Source organism: Homo sapiens, chromosome 16 (assembly GCF_000001405.40).
Source record: "Homo sapiens chromosome 16, GRCh38.p14 Primary Assembly".
Taxonomy (NCBI): Eukaryota; Metazoa; Chordata; class Mammalia; order Primates; family Hominidae; genus Homo; species Homo sapiens.
In genome coordinates, this window is record NC_000016.10 from 14,917,450 (window position 1) to 14,936,601 (window position 19,152).

A 19,152-nucleotide genomic window follows, 5' to 3' on the forward strand; every position below is an offset into this window, starting at 1 on the left:
GGGGATGCTGGCAATGTGTGGGATGGGCCCAGGGATGGCCTCTGGCCTACTAAGGGCTCTGGCCCTGACCCACGGCCACTCACTCCTCAGAGACGTCTCCCACAACCTGCTCCGGGCGCTGGACGTTGGGCTCCTGGCGAACCTCTCGGCGCTGGCAGAGCTGTGAGTGTCCCCCAGTCGTGCCAGCATGCGGGGCTCACTCCGGGTGGGCTGGCGGCACCGCCTCTTGCTGCTCAGCTGTGGGGGCTTCCGTCAGCTTTGCCGAATCCCCCCTCTCTTCCAGGGATATAAGCAACAACAAGATTTCTACGTTAGAAGAAGGAATATTTGCTAATTTATTTAATTTAAGTGAAATGTAAGTTGTGGTTCTTTGGGTGGGGTCCTGGCTGGACCCCAGGCCCCCAGTATCCCTTCTGCCCTCCCAGTTGGTCCGTGTCCCCTTCCAGGCTTGAGACCAGATCCTGGGGGCAGTTCACTACCTGCTTGGAGCCCCCCAGTGCCGGCTTGGTTGGGGCAGGGGAGGCGGTGCTGTCAGGGTGGCTCCAGGGCCTGGTTGCCAGTGGGGGGCTGGCATAGACCCTTCCCACCAGACCTGGTCCCCAACACCTGCCCCTGCCCCGCAGAAACCTGAGTGGGAACCCGTTTGAGTGTGACTGTGGCCTGGCGTGGCTGCCGCGATGGGCGGAGGAGCAGCAGGTGCGGGTGGTGCAGCCCGAGGCAGCCACGTGTGCTGGGCCTGGCTCCCTGGCTGGCCAGCCTCTGCTTGGCATCCCCTTGCTGGACAGTGGCTGTGGTGAGTGCCGGTGGGTGGGGCAGCTCTGTCCTTCCCAGCCAGGTGGGACCTGGGCCCTGCAGACACTGGGCAGGGCTCAGGAAGGCCTCTCTGGGGGGGGCCTCCGGGCCAAGGGAACAGCATGGGAGCCTGTGAGTGCGGCGGGCGGATGGGGGGGTGTGGGGTGGAGCCAGGAGGAGCAGAACCCGGGGTCCAGTGGCTGCCTCTTCTAGGTGAGGAGTATGTCGCCTGCCTCCCTGACAACAGCTCAGGCACCGTGGCAGCAGTGTCCTTTTCAGCTGCCCACGAAGGCCTGCTTCAGCCAGAGGCCTGCAGCGCCTTCTGCTTCTCCACCGGCCAGGGCCTCGCAGCCCTCTCGGAGCAGGGCTGGTGCCTGTGTGGGGCGGCCCAGCCCTCCAGTGCCTCCTTCGCCTGCCTGTCCCTCTGCTCCGGCCCCCTGCCGCCTCCTGCCCCCACCTGTAGGAGCCCCACCCTCCTCCAGCACGTCTTCCCTGCCTCCCCAGGGGCCGCCCTGGTGGGGCCCCACGGACCCCTGGCCTCCGGCCAGCTAGCAGCCTTCCACATCGCTGCCCCGCTCCCTGTCACTGCCACATGCTGGGACTTTGGAGACGGCTCCCCCGAGGTGGATGCCGCTGGGCCGGCTGCCTCGCATCGCTATGTGCTGCCTGGGCGCTATCACGTGACGGCCGTGCTGGCCCTGGGGACCGGCTCAGCCCTGCTGGGGACAGACGTGCAGGTGGAAGCGGCACCTGCCGCCCTGAAGCTCGTGTGCCCGTCCTCGGTGCAGAGTGACGAGAGCCTCGACCTCAGCATCCAGAACCGCGGTGGTTCAGGCCTGGAGGCCGCCTACAGCATCGTGGCCCTGGGCGAGGAGCCGGCCCGAGGTGAGTGTCTGCTGCCCACTCCCCTTCCTCCCCAGGGCCATCCAGATGGGGCAGAGCCTGGTACCCCCGTCTTGGGCCCACACTGACCGTTGACACCCTCGTTCCCACCGGTCTCCAGCGGTGCACCCGCTCTGCCCCTCGGACACGGAGATCTTCTCTGGCAATGGGCACTGCTACCGCCTGGTGGTGGAGAAGGCGGCCTGGCTGCAGGCGCAGGAGCAGTGTCGGGCCTGGGCCGGGGCCACCCTGGCAATGGTGGACAGTCCCGCCGTGCAGCGCTTCCTGGTCTCCCGGGTCACCAGGTGCCTGCCCCACCCCCCGAGGGGCCATAGGTTGGGAGATCTCTGAAGCAGTGGGGCAGAGCCTGCGGCTGGGGAGTCTCAGGAGGAGGGAGGTGGGAGCTGGGCCGGCCCTGGTGAGCAGGTGGCGCCGGCCGGTGGGGCCGTTCCTGTCAGCTCTGCAGATGCAGAGGTGGACGCGAGCTGGGGGCAGCCTCCGGACACTCCTGGGCACGCCATACGGGAGGTGGCCTGCACGGGGATCCCTGCCGGTGCCCACAGGCCCCGTGGGTGGGTGCTGCTGTGAGCCTGGGCTGGTGGGCCCTGCTCTCCGGGCTCTGAGCCTCAGTTTCCCCATCTGGAAAGGGGGACAGTGACGGGGCTCCCAGCGGGCTGCTGTGAGGGTGGGAGGATGGAGGAGTGCCCTGAGCCCCCTGCCATCCCACACCCGCCCCCAGGAGCCTAGACATGTGGATCGGCTTCTCGACTGTGCAGGGGGTGGAGGTGGGCCCAGCGCCGCAGGGCGAGGCCTTCAGCCTGGAGAGCTGCCAGAACTGGCTGCCCGGGGAGCCACACCCAGCCACAGCTGAGCACTGCGTCCGGCTCGGGCCCACCGGGTGGTGTAACACCGACCTGTGCTCAGCGCCGCACAGCTACGTCTGCGAGCTGCGGCCTGGAGGTGTGCGGGGGGCCAGGCAGGGGCCTGAGACGCTGGCTGTGGTTAGGGGCCTGCCGAGCGCCCGCGGTGGAGCCTGGGCTGAGGAGGAGGGGCTGGTGGGGGGGTTCTCGGGCGGCTCGGTCCCCAGTCTGTTCGTCCTGGTGTCCTGGGCCCTGGCCCGGCGCCTCACTGTGCACTTGCCACCCCAGGCCCAGTGCAGGATGCCGAGAACCTCCTCGTGGGAGCGCCCAGTGGGGACCTGTAGGGACCCCTGATGCCTCTGGCACGGCAGTACGGCCTCTCAGCCCCGCACGAGCCCCTGGAGGTAGTCGGCCCCCCACGTTCTATAACCTGCCCTCCTGCCTGCCCCTGGAGGCCTCGCCTGCCCTGCCCACTGTGGGTCTCGCCAAAAAACTTGGGGGCCTTAATGTTGCTTGTGCCCAGTGAAGATGGTTGGGAAAATCCAGAGGGCAGAGAGGAAAGCGTTTACTCACATTACCCCCAGGCCTTTTCTCTGAGTGTGGGTGAGTTATTCCTGAAAGGCAGGTCAGGGGTCCTGCCCCCCATGGACAGTTTCCATCGGAGTCTTCCTCTCGAGCGACAGGAGCCAGGCCTGTGGGGGTCCGATGGCTCGCTCTCCTTCCCTCCCCTCTTCCTGGGAAGTTCGGGTGGGGGGAGTCTGGGCTTCAGGCTGGGATGGGGTCTGTGGAGCTGAGGCGGCCCCCTGCCCACCAGGTCATGGTATTCCCGGGCCTGCGTCTGAGCCGTGAAGCCTTCCTCACCACGGCCGAATTTGGGACCCAGGAGCTCCGGCGGCCCGCCCAGCTGCGGCTGCAGGTGTACCGGCTCCTCAGCACAGCAGGTGGGACTCTGGGGTGGTGGGCGCCGCAGGACTCGGGGTGGCCTCTCTGAGCTCTCACGTCTGCTGGTCCTGTGGCCATCAGAGTGGTTCCCAGTCTTAGGTGGACAGAGCAGGGGTTCCAGAGACACCAGCTCATTCCAGGTGTCCTGGGGGTGGATCGGGTGGGGCCTGCCTGGGGACCGGCCTGGGTCAGTCAGCTGGCCGGAGACAGGGACGCAGCACTGGGCTGGGAGTGCTGCCCGGGCGGGGAGACCTGTCCTCACAGCAAGGCCAGGCTCGCTGGTGCAGGCAGTTGGGCATCTCTGACGGTGGCCCATGGGCGAATCAGGGCCCCAACACCCTCCCCTCCTCGCAGGGACCCCGGAGAACGGCAGCGAGCCTGAGAGCAGGTCCCCGGACAACAGGACCCAGCTGGTCCCCGCGTGCATGCCAGGGGGACGCTGGTGCCCTGGAGCCAACATCTGCTTGCCGCTGGACGCCTCCTGCCACCCCCAGGCCTGCGCCAATGGCTGCACGTCAGGGCCAGGGCTACTCGGGTCCCCCTATGCGCTATGGAGAGAGTTCCTCTTCTCCGTTCCCGCGGGGCCCCCCGCGCAGTACTCGGTGTGTGGCCCTGACCTGGGTCTGTTCCCTGCATCTCCTCAGGCCACCTTCCTGTCTGCTGCCCAGGGTCTGGGTCTGCGCAGCAGACACACCCAGCCTGCAGGCCCCTCCCACGTCCTTGCCACCTCTGACCTCCGACCTCCGACCTCCAACCTCCGACCTCTGCAGTGCCCTTGCCCCTCTCCCAGTGGGAGAAGCTCTCGCCTGGGCCCTTGGCACGAGCTGTGCCTCCTCTTCCTCTCTCCCAGCACAGCCGCTCCTTCCTGTCTGTCAGGTCTTGGCCTGTGTCCTCTCCCCGTGTGTCCCCCTGTCTGCAACTGTCCTGCCTGTCCTTGTCACGAGCACTGTGGGGAGGCTCCCTGAGGTGTGGCTGACGAAGCGGGGAGCCCTGCGTGTCCACCCTCATCCGTCGTGCAGGGGTCCACGGGCCATGACCGTGAGGACGTGATGCAGCCCTGCCTCCCTCTCCACAGGTCACCCTCCACGGCCAGGATGTCCTCATGCTCCCTGGTGACCTCGTTGGCTTGCAGCACGACGCTGGCCCTGGCGCCCTCCCGCACTGCTCGCCGGCTCCCGGCCACCCTGGTCCCCAGGCCCCGTACCTCTCCGCCAACGCCTCGTCATGGCTGCCCCACTTGCCAGCCCAGCTGGAGGGCACTTGGGCCTGCCCTGCCTGTGCCCTGCGGCTGCTTGCAGCCACGGAACAGCTCACCGTGCTGCTGGGCCTGAGGCCCAACCCTGGGCTGCGGCTGCCTGGGCGCTATGAGGTCCGGGCAGAGGTGGGCAATGGCGTGTCCAGGCACAACCTGTCCTGCAGCTTTGACGTGGTCTCCCCAGTGGCTGGGCTGCGGGTCATCTACCCTGCCCCCCGCGACGGCCGCCTCTACGTGCCCACCAACGGCTCAGCCTCGGTGCTCCAGGTGGACTCTGGTGCCAGCGCCACGGCCACGGCTTGCTGGCCTGGGGGCAGTGTCAGCGCCCGCTTTGAGAATGCCTGCCCTGCCCTGGTGGCCACCTTCGTGCCCGGCTGCCCCTGGGAGACCAATGATACCCTGTTCTCAGTGGTAGCACTGCCGTGGCTCGGTGAGGGGGAGCACGTGATGGACGTTGTGGTGGAAAACAGCGCCAGCCGGGCCAACCTCAGCCTGCGGGTGACGGCGGAGGAGCCCATCTGTGGCCTCCGCGCCACGCCCAGCCCCGAGGCCCGTGTACTGCAGGGAGTCCCAGTGGTGAGTATGGCCGAGGCTCCACCACCAGCCCCCAGGCAGGTGCCTGCAGACAGGGTGCTCACACAGGGCGTGAGGCCTGGCTTCCCAGTGAGGGCAGCAGCCCAGTTACTGGGGACGTCGGCCCCGGGCAGGTCCTGCTGGCTGGCTCCTCAGGCTACCTGGTGGGCTTTAAATTCCTGGAAAGTCACGGCTCTGACAGCGGCTCCGCTAACTCATTCCACCGTCTCATTTCACGAAATGAATTTAAAACTCCGCTCCCTGACCTCACACGAGTCCCCGTGAGTCTCTCACGCCCTCTGCTGTGTTCTCGCCTGGCTAAAGCAAGTGGCTTTTGAGGTGGAGTCCGAACCCCTGATGGGAAACTGCGGGCTGCCCGCGGTGCCACCATGCTGGGTACATGGGGGACAGGGCTGTTCCATCTTGCGGGTACCTGCCCCTTCACCAGGGGCCTTGGGAGGGGCCATGAGAAATGGCGTGACCTGTGCAGCCTGTCCTGGGTTCTGTAAGCCAGTGTAGGTGCTGTCCCTGTGAGGCCCGTGTGCCTCCCCTCACTGCTCCGAGCTCTCTGGCTGAGGAGCTGGGGCAGGAGCCCCGGGAGGGTCTGAGAAGACTCAGAGAGAGGTGGACTCTTTGTAGCTGGTACTAGGTTTGCTTTACAGATGGGGAAACTGAGGCACAGAGAGGTTGAGGCATTAGTAGTACTACATGGCTGGCTGGAGAGCCGGACAGTCAGTGTCCCAGCCCGGGCTTGGCTCTCATGGCATGCAGAGCCCCGGGCACCTCCTCTCCTCTGTGCCCCACGTGGGACTCTCCAGCCCGACGGGAGGTGTGTCCAGGAGGCGACAGGCTAAGGGCAGAGTCCTCCACAGAGCCCAGGCTGACACCAGTCCCCCCGCAGAGGTACAGCCCCGTGGTGGAGGCCGGCTCGGACATGGTCTTCTGGTGGACCATCAACGACAAGCAGTCCCTGACCTTCCAGAACGTGGTCTTCAATGTCATTTATCAGAGCGCGGCGGTCTTCAAGCTCTCAGTAGGTGGGCGGGAGTGGGGAGGGGAGGGGATGGGGCGGGGCGGGGGCGGGCTCCACCTTCACCTCTGCCTTCTGCTCTGCTTCATGCTGCCCGAGGACGCTGCCATGGCTGTGGTGAGTGGAGGGAGGGACGCCAAGCAGGGCAGGCCTCTCACCTGCCACCTGGGCCCACTGATGCCTGTCCCTGCAGCTGACGGCCTCCAACCACGTGAGCAACGTCACCGTGAACTACAACATCACCGTGGAGCGGATGAACAGGATGCAGGGCCTGCGGGTCTCTACAGTGCCAGCCGTGCTGTCCCCCAATGCCACGCTGGCACTGACGGCGGGCGTGCTGGTGGACTCGGCCGTGGAGGTGGCCTTCCTGTGAGTGACTCAGGGGCCGGTTTGGGGTGGGCACCAGGCTCTTGTCCGGGCACCAGGCTCTTGTCCCGGCTCCAGCCTCAGCCGAGGGACCCCACATCAGGGGGTTGCTTTTCTGAGCCTCGGTTTCCCTGTCTGTTGGGAGGTACTGGGTGCACAGGAGCCCTGAGGCTGCACGGGAGCCGGGAGAGGCCTCAGCACAGCCGGGTGGGCCCTGAATGGAGGCCCGGGGCGTGACTGCAGAGTGGAGCCTCGGCTGGGTCCCAAGCACCCCCTGCCCCGCCACCGCGCACCTGTGCCCCGCCACTGCGCACCCCTGTCCCGGTTCACTCACTGCCTCCCACCGCCCCGGCAGGTGGACCTTTGGGGATGGGGAGCAGGCCCTCCACCAGTTCCAGCCTCCATACAACGAGTCCTTCCCGGTTCCAGACCCCTCGGTGGCCCAGGTGCTGGTGGAGCACAATGTCACCCACACCTACGCTGCCCCAGGTGAGGGATGAGGGGGTGAGGGGGCCACTGCCTTTCAGGCTCTGAGCACGGGGCCCCCCCAGTCCCCCAGTCAAGCTGCCCCGCTTCCTCCCCAACAGCCCTCACTGTGACCTCACCTGGGCTGATGGCTTAGGCCCCTACTGGGGTGAGGGAGGGGCCAGGCGTGGGAGGAGTGGACAGGGAAGCTGGGCCCCCTGAACTGCCCCCCACCGCGGCCTGGCTCTTGCTGCTCTGCTGCCCCGAGTGCAGCTGCACTTGGAGGCGGTGCCGTCCTCACCAGGCAGCCCTCAGTGCTGCTGCACCTGTGCTCCGTCCCGCACGTGGCTTGGGAGCCTGGGACCCTTAAGGCTGGGCCGCAGGCGCAGCCGTTCACCCCGGGCTCCTCAGGCGGGGGGCTTCTGCCGAGCGGGTGGGGAGCAGGTGGGGGTGCCGCGGCTGCCCCACTTGGGCCTGTCCCCACAGGTGAGTACGTCCTGACCTTGCTGGCATCTAATGCCTTCGAGAACCGGACGCAGCAGGTGCCTGTGAGCGTGTGCGCCTCCCTGCCCTCTGTGAGTGTGTGCGCCTCCCTGACTGGGGCCTGCTGGTACCCCAGAGTGGGTGTCTGTTCCCCAGTCCCTGCTTTCCTCAGCTGGCCTGATTGGGGGTCTGCCCAGAGGGGTCGTCTGAGGGGAGGGTGTGGGAGCAGGTTCCATCCCGGCTCAGCCTCCTGACCCAGGCCCTGGCTAAGGGCTGCAGGAGTCTGTGAGTCAGGCCTACGTGGCAACTGCGGTCCTCACACCCCCACATACGTCTGTTCCCACACGCATCCCCCCAGGGGCCCTCAGTGAGCATTGCCTGCCTCCTGTCAGGGTCCAGCTGGCTCCAGTACACCAGAACACACACCCCAGTGTCCTCTGCCCTGTGTATGCCCTTCCGCCGCCCAGGTTGGAAGGTGGCAAACCGGATGAGTATCCTGGGAGGGGGTGAGCTCACCGGCAGTGGCCAGGCCCCTGGGAAACCTGGAGTTTGGGAGCAGCATCCTCCACGGGTCCCCCAGACCTTCCAGCAGGCCAAATAGACCTGTGTTGGAGGTAACCCCACTCCCACGCCAGGTGCTGATCCGCAGTGGCCGGGTGCCCATTGTGTCCTTGGAGTGTGTGTCCTGCAAGGCACAGGCCGTGTACGAAGTGAGCCGCAGCTCCTACGTGTACCTGGAGGGCCGCTGCCTCAATTGCAGCAGCGGCTCCAAGCGAGGGGTGAGTGTTGAGCGGGGTGTGGGCGGGTTGGGGATGGGTCCCATGGCCGAGGGGACGGGGCCTGCAGGCAGAAGTGGGGCTGACAGGGCAGAGGGTTGCGCCCCCTCACCATCCCTTCTGCCTGCAGCGGTGGGCTGCACGTACGTTCAGCAACAAGACGCTGGTGCTGGATGAGACCACCACATCCACGGGCAGCGCAGGCATGTGACTGGTGCTGCGGCGGGGCGTGCTGCGGGACGGCGAGGGATACACCTTCACGCTGACGGTGCTGGGCCGCTCTGGCGAGGAGGAGGGCTGCGCCTCCATCCCCCTGTCCCCCAACCGCCCGCCGCTGGGGGGCTCTTGCCGCCTCTTCCCACTGGGCGCTGTGCACGCTCTCACCACCAAGGTGCACTTCGAATGCATGGGTGAGTGCAGGCCTGCGTAGGGGGAGCAGCGGGATCCCCCGACTCTGTGAGGTCACGGAGCCCTCCCGTGATGCCGTGGGGACCGTCCCTCAGGCTGGCATGACGCGGAGGATGCTGGCGCCCCGCTGGTGTACGCCCTGCTGCTGCAGCGCTGTCGCCAGGGCCACTGCGAGGAGTTCTGTGTCTACAAGGGCAGCCTCTCCGGCTACGGAGCCGTGCTGCCCCCGGGTTTCAGGCCACACTTCGAGGTGGGCCTGGCCGTGGTGGTGCAGGACCAGCTGGGAGCCGCTGTGGTCGCCCTCAACAGGTGAGCCAGGCCGTGGGAGGGCGCCCCCGAGACTGCCACCTGCTCACCACCCCCCTCTGCTCGTAGGTCTCTGGCCATCACCCTCCCAGAGCCCAACGGCAGCGCAATGGGGCTCACAGTCTGGCTGCACGGGCTCACCGCTAGTGTGCTCCCGGGGCTGCTGCGGCAGGCCGATCCCCAGCACGTCATCGAGTACTCGCTGGCCCTGGTCACTGTGCTGAACGAGGTGAGTGCAGCCTGGGAGGGGACCTCACATCTGCTGCATGCGTGCTGGGGACCAAGACCTGTTCCCCTGCCTGGAGCTTTGCGGAGGGCTCATCCCGGGCCCCAGAGATAAATCCCAGTGACCCTGAAGCAGCACCCCGACGTTCCGCTCCCAGCAGCCACACCCACCGGGCCCTCTCCGGCGTCTGCTTTCCACAATGCAGCCCCCGCCCAGGAGGGCCCATGTGCTTACCCTGTTTTGCCCATGAAGAAACAGCTCAGTGTTGCGGGTCAGTGCCCACATCACACAGCATCTAGCACGTAACTGCACCCCGGGAGTCGTGGGCATCTGCTGGCCTCCTGCCGGCCTCCTGCCCTGCTGACAGCTTGCTGTGCCCCCTGCCTGCCCCAGTACGAGCGGGCCCTGGACGTGGCGGCAGAGCCCAAGCACGAGCGGCAGCGCCGAGCCCAGATACGCAAGAACATCACGGAGACTCTGGTGTCCCTGAGGGTCCACACTGTGGATGACATCCAGCAGATCGCTGCTGCGCTGGCCCAGTGCATGGTAGGATGGCCCCACATGCTCTCCCCGCCCCGCATGCCTGCCAGGGTACTGGGTTCAGCCCCCCAGGGCAGACGGGCAGCTTGGCCGAGGAGCTGAGCCTCCAGCCTGGGCTCCTTCCTGCCATGGCGTTCCTCGGTCTCTGACCTGCTTCAGTAGCCTCAGCCATTCTGCTGTCCTGTGTGAACGCAGGGTGCCTCTCGGGGGACCCAGGGTGTAAAGAGGGGCCCAGATGTGGGGAGGGACTAAGAAGATGCTGCTCTGTGCCCTCCACTCTCCCCTCCCCTCCCCCTTCCCTCCCCTAGCCCCTCCCCTCCCCTTCCCTCCCCTAACCCCTCCCCTCCCCCTTCCCTCCCCTAGTCCCTCCCCCCTCCCCTAGCCCCTGCCTCCTCCCCCAGCCCCTCCCCTCCCCTAGCCCTTCCCCTCCTCCCCTCCCCTAGACCTTCCCCTCACCTCTCCCCCTCCCCTCTCCCCTCCCCCTTCTCTCCCCTCTCCCCTCTCCCCTCCCCCTTCTCTCCCCTCCCCCCTTCTCTCCCCTCCCCTCTCCTCTCCCCCTTCTCTCCCCTCCCCTCTCCTCTCCCCCTTCTCTCCTCTCCCCTCTCCTCTCCCCCCTTCTCTCCCCTCCCCTCTCCTCTCCCCCTTCCCTCTCCTCTCCCCCTTCCCTCTCCTCTCCCCCTTCCCTCTCCTCTCCCCCTTCTCTCCCCTTCCCTCTCCTCTCCCCTTCCCTCTCCTCTCCCCCCTTTTCTCCACTCCCCTCTCCTCTCTCCCCTCTCCCCTCCTCCTCCTCTCATGTGAAGAGGTGCCTTGTGTGGTCGGTGGGCTGCATCACGTGGTCCCCAAGTGGAGGCCGTGGGTCATGCAGAGCCACAGAAAATGCTTAGTGAGGAGACTGGGGGGGTCCAGTCAAGTGGGCTCTCCAGCTGCAGGGCTGGAGGTGGGAGCCAGGTGAGGACCCGTGTAGAGAGGAGGGCGTGTGCAAGGAGTGGGGCCAGGAGCGGGGCTGGACACTGCTGGCTCCACACAGGGGCCCAGCAGGGAGCTCGTATGCCGCTCGTGCCTGAAGCAGACGCTGCACAAGCTGGAGGCCATGATGCGCATCCTGCAGGCAGAGACCACCGCGGGCACCGTGACGCCCACCGCCATCGGAGACAGCATCCTCAACATCACAGGTGCCGCGGCCCGTGCCCCACGCCACCCGCCCGCCCCACGTGGCCCGTCCGCCCCATGCCGCCCTTTCCTCTGCCTCCCTCCTCCCCACAACCGCCTCGCCTTTGCCCCATCCCATCTTCGTCCCCCTCCCCTCCCCCCAATTCCCATCCTCATCCCCCTCCCCCAATTCCCATCCTCATCCCGCTCCCCCAATTCCCATCCTTATCCCCCTCCCCCAATTCCCATCCTTATCCCCCTCCCCCAATTCCCATTCTCCTCCCCCTCCCCCTTCCCTATTACCATCCCTTTTCTCCATCTCTCTCCCCTTTTCTCCATTTCCCCCCCGATCCTCCCCGTCCTTTTGTCCATTCCCCTCATCTTTCTTATCCCCCTTATCCTCCTTCCCCTCCCTTATCCCCCTTCCCCTCCCTTATCCGCCTTATCCCCTTCCCCTCCCTTCCCCCTGCTCCTCTTCTTCTCCCCTTTCTCTTTTCTCTACCCTTTTCCTTCCTTTTTCCTCCCTCTCCCCATCATCCCCCTCATCTTCGTCCTCATCCCCATCCCCTTCCCCCTCCCCCTCCACCACTCTCTCTCCAGCTTCCCCCTTCCTTCTGCCTGCACCTCGCTCTCTGCCCCCTCAGGTTCCCCCTTTCTCCCAGTCCCCACCCTCCGGCTCCCCCTTTTTGCCTGCCCCCACCCTCCCTCTGCCTCCCTGTCTCTGCACTGACCTCACGCCTGTCTGCAGGAGACCTCATCCACCTGGCCAGCTCAGACGTGCGGGCACCACAGCGCTCAGAGCTGGGAGCCGAGTCACCATCGCGGATGGTGGCGTCCCAGGCCTACAACCTGACCTCTGCCCTCACGCCCATCCTCACGCGCTCCCGCGTGCTCAACGAGGAGCCCCTGACGCTGGCGGGTGAGGAGATCGTGGCCCAGGGCAAGCGCTCGGACCCGCGGAGCCTGCTGTGCTATGGCGGCGCCCCAGGGCCTGGCTGCCACTTCTCCATCCCCTAGGCTTTCAGCAGGGCCCCGGCCAACCTCAGTGACGTGGTGCAGCTCATCTTTCTGGTGGACTCCAATCCCTTTCCCTTTGGCTATATCAGCAACTACACCGTCTCCACCAAGGTGGCCTCGATGGCGTTCCAGACACAGGCCGGCGCCCAGATCCCCATCGAGCGGCTGGCCTCAGAGCGCGCCTCACCGTGAAGGTGCCCAACAACTCGGACTGGGCTGCCCGGGGCCACCGCAGCTCCGCCAACTCCGTTGTGGTCCAGCCCCAGGCCTCCGTCGGTGCTGTGGTCACCCTGGACAGCAGCAACCCTGCGGCCGTGCTGCATCTGCAGCTCAACTATACGCTGCTGGACGGTGCATGCAGCGGTTGGGGCACACGCGGCCCCCTGGCCTTGTTCTTGGGGGGAAGGCGTTTCTCGTAGGGCTTCCATGGGTGTCTCTGGTGAAATTTGCTTTCTGTTTCATGGGCTGCTGGGGGCCTGGCCGGAGAGGAGCTGGGGGCCACGGAGAAGCAGGTGCCAGCTCTGGTGCAGAGGCTCCTATGGCCTTTCAGGCCCATGGCAGAGGGTGGGCTCAGGAGGGCCATCGTGGGTGTCCCCCGGGTGGTTGAGCTTCCCGGCAGGCGTGTGACCTGCGCGTTCTGCCCCAGGCCGCTACCTGTCTGAGGAACCCGAGCCCTACCTGGCAGTCTACCTGCACTCGGAGCCCCGGCCCAATGAGCGCAACTGCTCGGCTAGCAGGAGGATCCGCCCAGAGTCCCTCCAGGGTGCCGACCACCGGCCCTACACCTTCTTCATTTCCCCGGGGTGAGCTCTGCGGGCCGGCCTGGCAGGGCAGGGCAGGGCATCATGGGTCAGCATTGCCCGGGTTACGGGCCCCGTGGGGACGGCAGGCAGCGAGGGGACTGGACCGGGTATGGGCTCTGGGACTTCGACATCCAACCTGGCGGAGCCTGGGCTCACGTCCACTGCCCCTTCCCTTCCCAGGACCAGAGACCCAGTGGGGAGTTACCGTCTGAACCTCTCCAGTCACTTCCGCTGGTCGGCGCTGGAGGTGTCCGTGGGCTTGTACACGTCCCTGTGCCAGTACTTCAGCGAGGAGGACGTGGTGTGGCGGACAGAGGGGCTGCTGCCCCTGGAGGAGACCTCGCCCCGCCAGGCCGTCTGCCTCACCCGCCACCTCACCGCCTTCGGCACCAGCCTCTTCGTGCCCCCAAGCCATATCCGCTTTGTGTTTCCTGTGAGTGACCCTGTGCTCCTGGGAGCCTCTGCAGAGTCGAGGAGGGCCTGGGTGGGCTCGGCTCTATCCTGAGAAGGCACAGCTTGCACGTGACCTCCTGGGCCTGGCGGCTGTGTCTTCACAGGAGCCAACAGCGGATGTAAACTACATCGTCATGCTGACATGTGCTGTGTGCCTGGTGACCTACATGGTCATGGCCGCCATCCTGCACAAGCTGGACCAGTTGGATGCCAGCCGGGGCCGCGCCATCCCCTTCTGTGGGCAGCGGGGCCGCTTCAAGTACGAGATCCTCGTCAAGACAGGCTGGGGCCGGGGCTCAGGTGAGGGGCGCGGCGGGGTGGCAGGGCCTCCCCTGCTCTCACTGGCTGTGCTGGTTGCACCCTCTGGGAATGAGTCTCGTCGCAGGCGTCAGAACAAGGCAGTTTTTGCAGTACTGTGTGAAGGGCTCGTGTGTTCATCCTGGGAATGACCTCGTGAGCACTCACTGTCCCTGAGGACTAGGACAGCTCCTAGCTGGAAGTAGGTGCCAGTCAGTCAGGGTGGGCAGCCCACGTTCTGCACAGTAGCGTGGCCCCACAAGTGACATGAGCATCGCTACCACTGTGGGAGACCATGCATCCACCCGCGATCCTGACTGCATAGCTCGTCTCTCAGGCGGAGGTGCCAGCACCCTCCCCGTGGCTGTTTCTTCAATACCTCCATTTTCCTTTATTGGAATTGCCCTTCTGGCATTCCCTTTTTGTTTTCGTTTTTCTTTTTTTGGAGACGGAGTCTCGCTCTGTTGCCCAGGCTGGAGTGCAATGGCGTGATCTTGGCTCACAGCAACTTCCAGCTCCTGGGTTTAAGCGATTCCCCTTAAGCGATTCTCCTGAGTAGCTGGGAGTACAGGTGCACACCACCACACCCAGTTAATTTTTCACCATGTCAGCCAGGCGAACTCCTGACCTCAGGTGATCCGCCTGCCTCGGCCTGCCAGAGTGCTGGGATGACAGGTGTGAGCCACCACACCTGGCCGTGTTCCCATTTTTTATTTCCATGCTGCTTTCATCTTCATTTCCCAGTTCTTTCTTTTGATTACCTACTTTTAAAAACTGTCGGCCGGGCGCGGTGGCTCACACCTGTAATCCGAGCACTTTGGGAGGCTGAGGCAGGCTAATCACGGGGTCAGGAGATCGAGACCATCCTGGCTAACGGTGAAACCCTGTCTCTACTAAAAAATACAAAAAAATTAGGCCGGCGTGGTGGCAGGCGCCTGTAGTCCCAGCTCCTCGGGAGACTGAGGCAGGAGAATGGCGTGAACCCGGGAGGCGGAGCTTGCAGTGAGCTGAGATTGCGCCACTGCACTCCAGCCTGGGTGACACAGCAAGACTCCATCTCAAAAAAAAAAAAAAAAAAAATACTGTCACCTGGGTCTGTCACTGGGAGAGGAGGTGACACAGCTTCACGCTTCGCAGTCTGTGCATGAACTGAGGGACGGGTGTGTGGTGCAGGTCACCGGTTGTGGCGTGACTGAGGCGTGGACAGGTGTGCAGTGCGGGTCACTGGTTGTGGTGTGGACTGAGGCGTGTGCAGCCATGTTTGCATGTCACAAGTTACAGTTCTTTCCATGTAACTTAATCATGTCCTTGAGGTCCTGCTGTTTATTGGACAAATTGCAGTAACCGCAGCTCCTCGTGTATAGCAGAGCTGTGCAAAGCCGGGACTGCCTGTGTGGCTCCTTGAGTGCGCGGAGGCCAAAGCTGAGATGACTTGCCTGGGATGCCACACGTGTTGGGCAGCAGACCGAGCCTCCCACCCCTCCCTCTTGCCCTCCAGGTACCACGGCCCACGTGGGCATCATGCTGTATGGGGTGGACAGCCGGAGCGGCCACCGGCACCTGGACGGCGACAGAGCCTTCCACCGCAACAGTCTGGACATCTTCCAGATCGCCACCCCGCACAGCCTGGGTAGCGTGTGGAAGATCCGAGTGTGGCACGACAACAAAGGTCTGTATGGACCCTGCCAAGCTCTGCCCCTCTGCCCCTGCATTGGGGCGCCCTGCGAACCTGACCTCCCTCCCGCGCCTCTGCAGGGCTCAGCCCTGCCCGGTTCCTGCAGCACATCATCGTCAGGGACCTGCAGACGGCACGCAGCACCTTCTTCCTGGTCAATGACTGGCTTTCGGTGGAGACGGAGGCCAACGGGGGCCTGGTGGAGAAGGAGGTGCTGGCCGCGAGTAAGGCCTCGTTCCGTGTTCCCACTCCGTGGGAGGTTGGGCAGGGTGGTCCTGCCCCGTGGCCTCCTGCAGTGCGGCCCTCCCTGCCTTCTAGGTCACGCAGCCCTGTTGCGCTTCCGGCGCCTGCTGGTGGCTGAGCTGCAGCGTGGCTTCTTTGACAAGCACATCTGGCTCTCCATATGGGACCGGCCGCCTCGTAGCTATTTCACTCACATCCAGAGGGCCACCTGCTGCGTTCTCCTCATCTGTCTCTTCCTGGGCGCCAACGCCGTGTGGTACGGGGCTGTTGGAGACTCTGCCTACAGGTGGGTGCCGTAGGGGTCGGGACAGCCTCTTCCTGCCCAGCCCTTCCTGCCCCTCAGCCTCACCTGTGTGGCCTCCTCTCCTCCACACAGCACGGGGCGTGTGTCCAGGCTGAACCCGCTGAGCGTCGACACAGTCGCTGTTGGCCTGGTGTCCAGCGTGGTTGTCTATCCCGTCTACCTGGCCATCCTCTTTCTCTTCCGGATGTCCCGGAGCAAGGTGGGCTGGGGCTGGGGACCCGGGAGTACTGGGAATGGAGCCTGGGCCTCGGCACCATGCCCAGGGCCGCCACTTTCCAGTGCTGCAGCCAGAGGGAAAGGCGTCCACCAAAGGCTGCTCGGGAAGGGTCAACACACTTGAGCAGCCTTAGCTAGACTGACCAGGGAGAAAGAGAGAAGACTCAGAAGCCAGAATCGTGAAAGAACGAGGGCACTTCGCTAAGCAGACGCCACGGACAACTGCACAGCAGCACGCCAGATAACTCAGAAGAAGCAAGCACGCGGCTGTGCACGCTTCCGAAATGCACTCCAGAAGAAAATCTCAGTACATCTATAGCAAGTGAAGAGGCCGAGTTAGTCCCTTAGAAACCTCCCAGTGGCCGGGCCGGGTGTGGTGGCTCACGCCTGTAATCCCAACACTTCAGGAGGCCGAGGTGGGCGGATCTGAGTCCAGGAGTTTGAGACCAGCCTGGGCAACATAGCAAGACCCCATCTATATAAAACATTAAAAAGGGCCAGGCACGGTGGCTCACGCCTGTAATCCCAACACTTTGGGAGGCCGAGGCGGGCAGATCAGTTGAGGTCAGGAGTTCGAGACCAGCCTGGCCAACACAATGAAACCCCATCTCTACTACAAATACAAAAACAGCTGGGCATGGTGGCGGGCGCCTGTAGTCCCAGCTACTCGAGAGGCTGAGGCAGGAGAATGGCATGAACCCAGGAGGCGGAGCTTGCAGTGAGCCGAGATTGCGCCACTGCACTCCATCCTGGGCAACGGAGCAAGACTCCGTCTCCAAAAAAAAAAAAAAAAAAAATCCCACAAAGAAAAGCCCAGGCTCAGAGCCTTCACGATAGAATTTTTCTAAGCAGTTAAGGAAGAATTAACACCAATCCTTCACAGACTCTTTCCAAGAATACAGCAGGTGGGAACTCTTCCCATTCATACGGAAACGGGAGGCCGCACCCCTTAGGAATGCACACGTGGGGTCCTCAAGAGGTTACATGCAAACTAACCCCAGCAGCACACAGAGAAGGCGCATAAGCCGCGACCAGGAGGGGTTGCTCCCGAGTCCGTGGCAGGAACCAGAGGCCACATGTGGCTGCTCGTATTTAAGTTAATTAAAATGGAACGATGGCCGGGTGTGGTGGCTCACACCTGTACTCCCAGCACTTTGGGAGGCGGAGGCGGGCAGATCACTTGAGGTCAGGAGTTCCAAGACCAGCCTGGCCAACACAGTGAAACCCCGTCTCTACTAAAAATACAAAAAATTAGCTGGGCATCGTGGCAGGCACCTGTAATCCCAGCTACTAAAGAGGCTGAGCCAGGACGGACAATCGCCTGAACGCGGGAGGTGGAGGTTGCAGTGAGCTGAGATTGCGCCAGTGCACTCCTGCCTGGGTGACAGAGCGAGACTCCATCTAAAAAAAAAAAAAATGAAATTTAAAACTCTGTTCCTTAGCTGCACCAGTCTGCTGTCAAGTGTTCAGTGGCACATGTCGCGAGGGGCTGCCATCACGGACGGTGCAGATGTCCCATATATCTAGCATTCTAGAACATTCTGTCAGATGGCACCGGGCTCTGTCCTGTCTGCTGAGGAGGTGGCTTCTCATCCCTGTCCTGAGCAGGTCTGAGCTGCTGCCCGCTGACCACTGCCCTTGTCCTGCAGGTGGCTGGGAGCCCGAGCCCCACACCTGCCGGGCAGCAGGTGCTGGACGTCGACAGCTGCCTGGACTCATCCGTGCTGGACAGCTCCTTCCTCACGTTCTGAGGCCTCCACGCTGAGGTGAGGGCTCTACTGGGGGTCCTGCCGCCTTGGCGCAGCTTGGACTCAAGACCCTGTGCACCTCTCAGCAGGCCTTTGCTGGACAGATGAAGAGTGACTTGTTTCTGGATGATTCTAAGAGGTGGGTTCCCTAGAGAAACCTCGAGCCCTGGTGCAGGTCACTGTGTCTGGAGTGCCGGGGGTGTGCGGGCTGCGTGTCCTTGCTGGGTGTCTGTGGCTCCATGTGGTCACACCACCTGGGAGCAGGTTTGCTCGGAAGCCCAGGGTGTCCGTGCGTGACTGGACGGGGGTGGGCTGTGTGTGTGACACATCCCCTGGTACCTTGCTGACCCGCGCCACCTGCAGTCTGGTGTGCTGGCCCTCCAGCGAGGGAACGCCCAGTTAGCCGGACCTGCTCAGTGACCCGTCCATTGTGGGTAGCAATCTGCGGCACGACCCCCACTTACTGGGTCTCTCCTTTTACAACCAACACAACCGAAATCTAGGGCTTCTTCTTTTTTTTTTTTTTTTTTTGAGACAGAGTCTCATTCCATTCTGTCACCCAGGCTGGAGTGCAATGGTACGATCTCGGCTCACTGCAACCTCCGCCTCCCAGGTTCAAGGGATTGTCCTGCCTCAGCCTCCTGAGTAGCTGGGATTACAGGCGTGTGCCACCATGCCTGGCTAATTTTTGTATTTTTGGTAGAGACGGGGTTTCAGCATGTTGGTGAGGCTGGTCTCGAACTCCTAACCTCGTGATCCGCCTGCCTCAGCCTCCCAAAGTGCTGGGATTACAGACGTGAGCCACCATGCCCAGCCAAATCTAGGGCTGGAACATGGCTGCAGCATATAAATAGAATTGAATTCCATAGTTTTGTTAACCCTGTTTTTTGTTTGTTTGTAGTTGTTGCTGTTTTTGAGACAGAGTCTCGCTCTGTCGCCTAGGCTGGAGTGCAGTGGTGCAATCTCGGCTCACTGCAGACTCTGCCTCCCGGGTTCAAACTGTTCTCCTGCCTCAGCCTCCCAAGTAGGTGGGACTACAGGCGCCCACCACCACACCCGGCTAATTTTTGTATTTTATTAGAGACAGGGTTTCACCATATTGGCCAGGCTGGTCTGGAACTCCTGACCTTGTGATCCGCCCACCTCGGCCTCCCAAAGTGCTGGGATTACAGGCGTGAGCCACCACCCCCAGCCCCTGTTTTGTTTTTGTTTTGCTTGTTTCTTAGGGTTGTTTTTCTATTTATGGTAAAGGCATTGGCTTTCCATTTGTAGCATCAATAGAATATTTCCTGTTTACAATAACCTTATGTCATAGTAAATGGTAAAGGGATTTAAAGCAGTGG

General features: G+C 63.6%; 1 long non-coding RNA gene, 2 other non-coding genes and 2 pseudogenes across 4 annotated transcripts in view, besides 1 other annotated feature; 4 read left to right on the plus strand and 1 right to left on the minus strand.

Annotated features, from left to right (window-relative positions):
* Positions 1-19,152, plus strand: part of PKD1P3-NPIPA1 (PKD1P3-NPIPA1 readthrough) — a 40,299-nt pseudogene that overhangs the window by 5,688 nt on the left and 15,459 nt on the right. Inside the window, exons 2-30 of the transcript NR_146231.1 lie at positions 91-162; positions 284-355; positions 624-793; positions 1,006-1,677; positions 1,796-1,979; positions 2,414-2,634; positions 2,823-2,938; positions 3,349-3,475; positions 3,831-4,078; positions 4,552-5,307; positions 6,206-6,337; positions 6,528-6,703; positions 7,056-7,189; positions 8,284-8,427; positions 8,555-8,834; positions 8,928-9,141; positions 9,208-9,367; positions 9,758-9,910; positions 10,932-11,076; positions 11,802-11,972; positions 12,071-12,264; positions 12,717-12,873; positions 13,054-13,306; positions 13,431-13,626; positions 15,122-15,292; positions 15,379-15,522; positions 15,617-15,827; positions 15,918-16,044; positions 17,711-17,948. The product of NR_146231.1 is annotated as a PKD1P3-NPIPA1 readthrough (transcript). The remainder of the gene's footprint in view (positions 1-90; positions 163-283; positions 356-623; positions 794-1,005; positions 1,678-1,795; positions 1,980-2,413; positions 2,635-2,822; positions 2,939-3,348; positions 3,476-3,830; positions 4,079-4,551; positions 5,308-6,205; positions 6,338-6,527; positions 6,704-7,055; positions 7,190-8,283; positions 8,428-8,554; positions 8,835-8,927; positions 9,142-9,207; positions 9,368-9,757; positions 9,911-10,931; positions 11,077-11,801; positions 11,973-12,070; positions 12,265-12,716; positions 12,874-13,053; positions 13,307-13,430; positions 13,627-15,121; positions 15,293-15,378; positions 15,523-15,616; positions 15,828-15,917; positions 16,045-17,710; positions 17,949-19,152) is intronic.
* PKD1P3 (polycystin 1, transient receptor potential channel interacting pseudogene 3) lies at positions 85-18,259 on the plus strand (annotated as a pseudogene).
* LOC100288162 (uncharacterized) lies at positions 8,301-9,834 on the minus strand. Its single transcript, NR_103772.1, has 3 exons — positions 9,599-9,834; positions 8,572-9,378; positions 8,301-8,333 (listed from the first exon to the last, which is right to left on the minus strand). It is a non-coding gene; the product is annotated as an uncharacterized LOC100288162 (long non-coding RNA).
* Positions 8,488-8,554, plus strand: MIR6511A1 (microRNA 6511a-1). Its single transcript, NR_106766.1, has one exon. It is a non-coding gene; the product is annotated as a microRNA 6511a-1 (primary transcript).
* Positions 12,459-13,272: an enhancer, noted in NCBI's record as "H3K27ac-H3K4me1 hESC enhancer chr16:15023765-15024578 (GRCh37/hg19 assembly coordinates)". NCBI's record gives its function as "activates a minimal SCP1, AML or CMV promoter by ChIP-STARR-seq in naive H9 embryonic stem cells {active_cell/tissue: H9 hESC(naive)}" and the evidence as "EXISTENCE:reporter gene assay evidence [ECO:0000049][PMID:30033119]".
* MIR6770-1 (microRNA 6770-1) lies at positions 13,371-13,430 on the plus strand. The gene has a single exon (NR_106828.1). It is a non-coding gene; the product is annotated as a microRNA 6770-1 (primary transcript).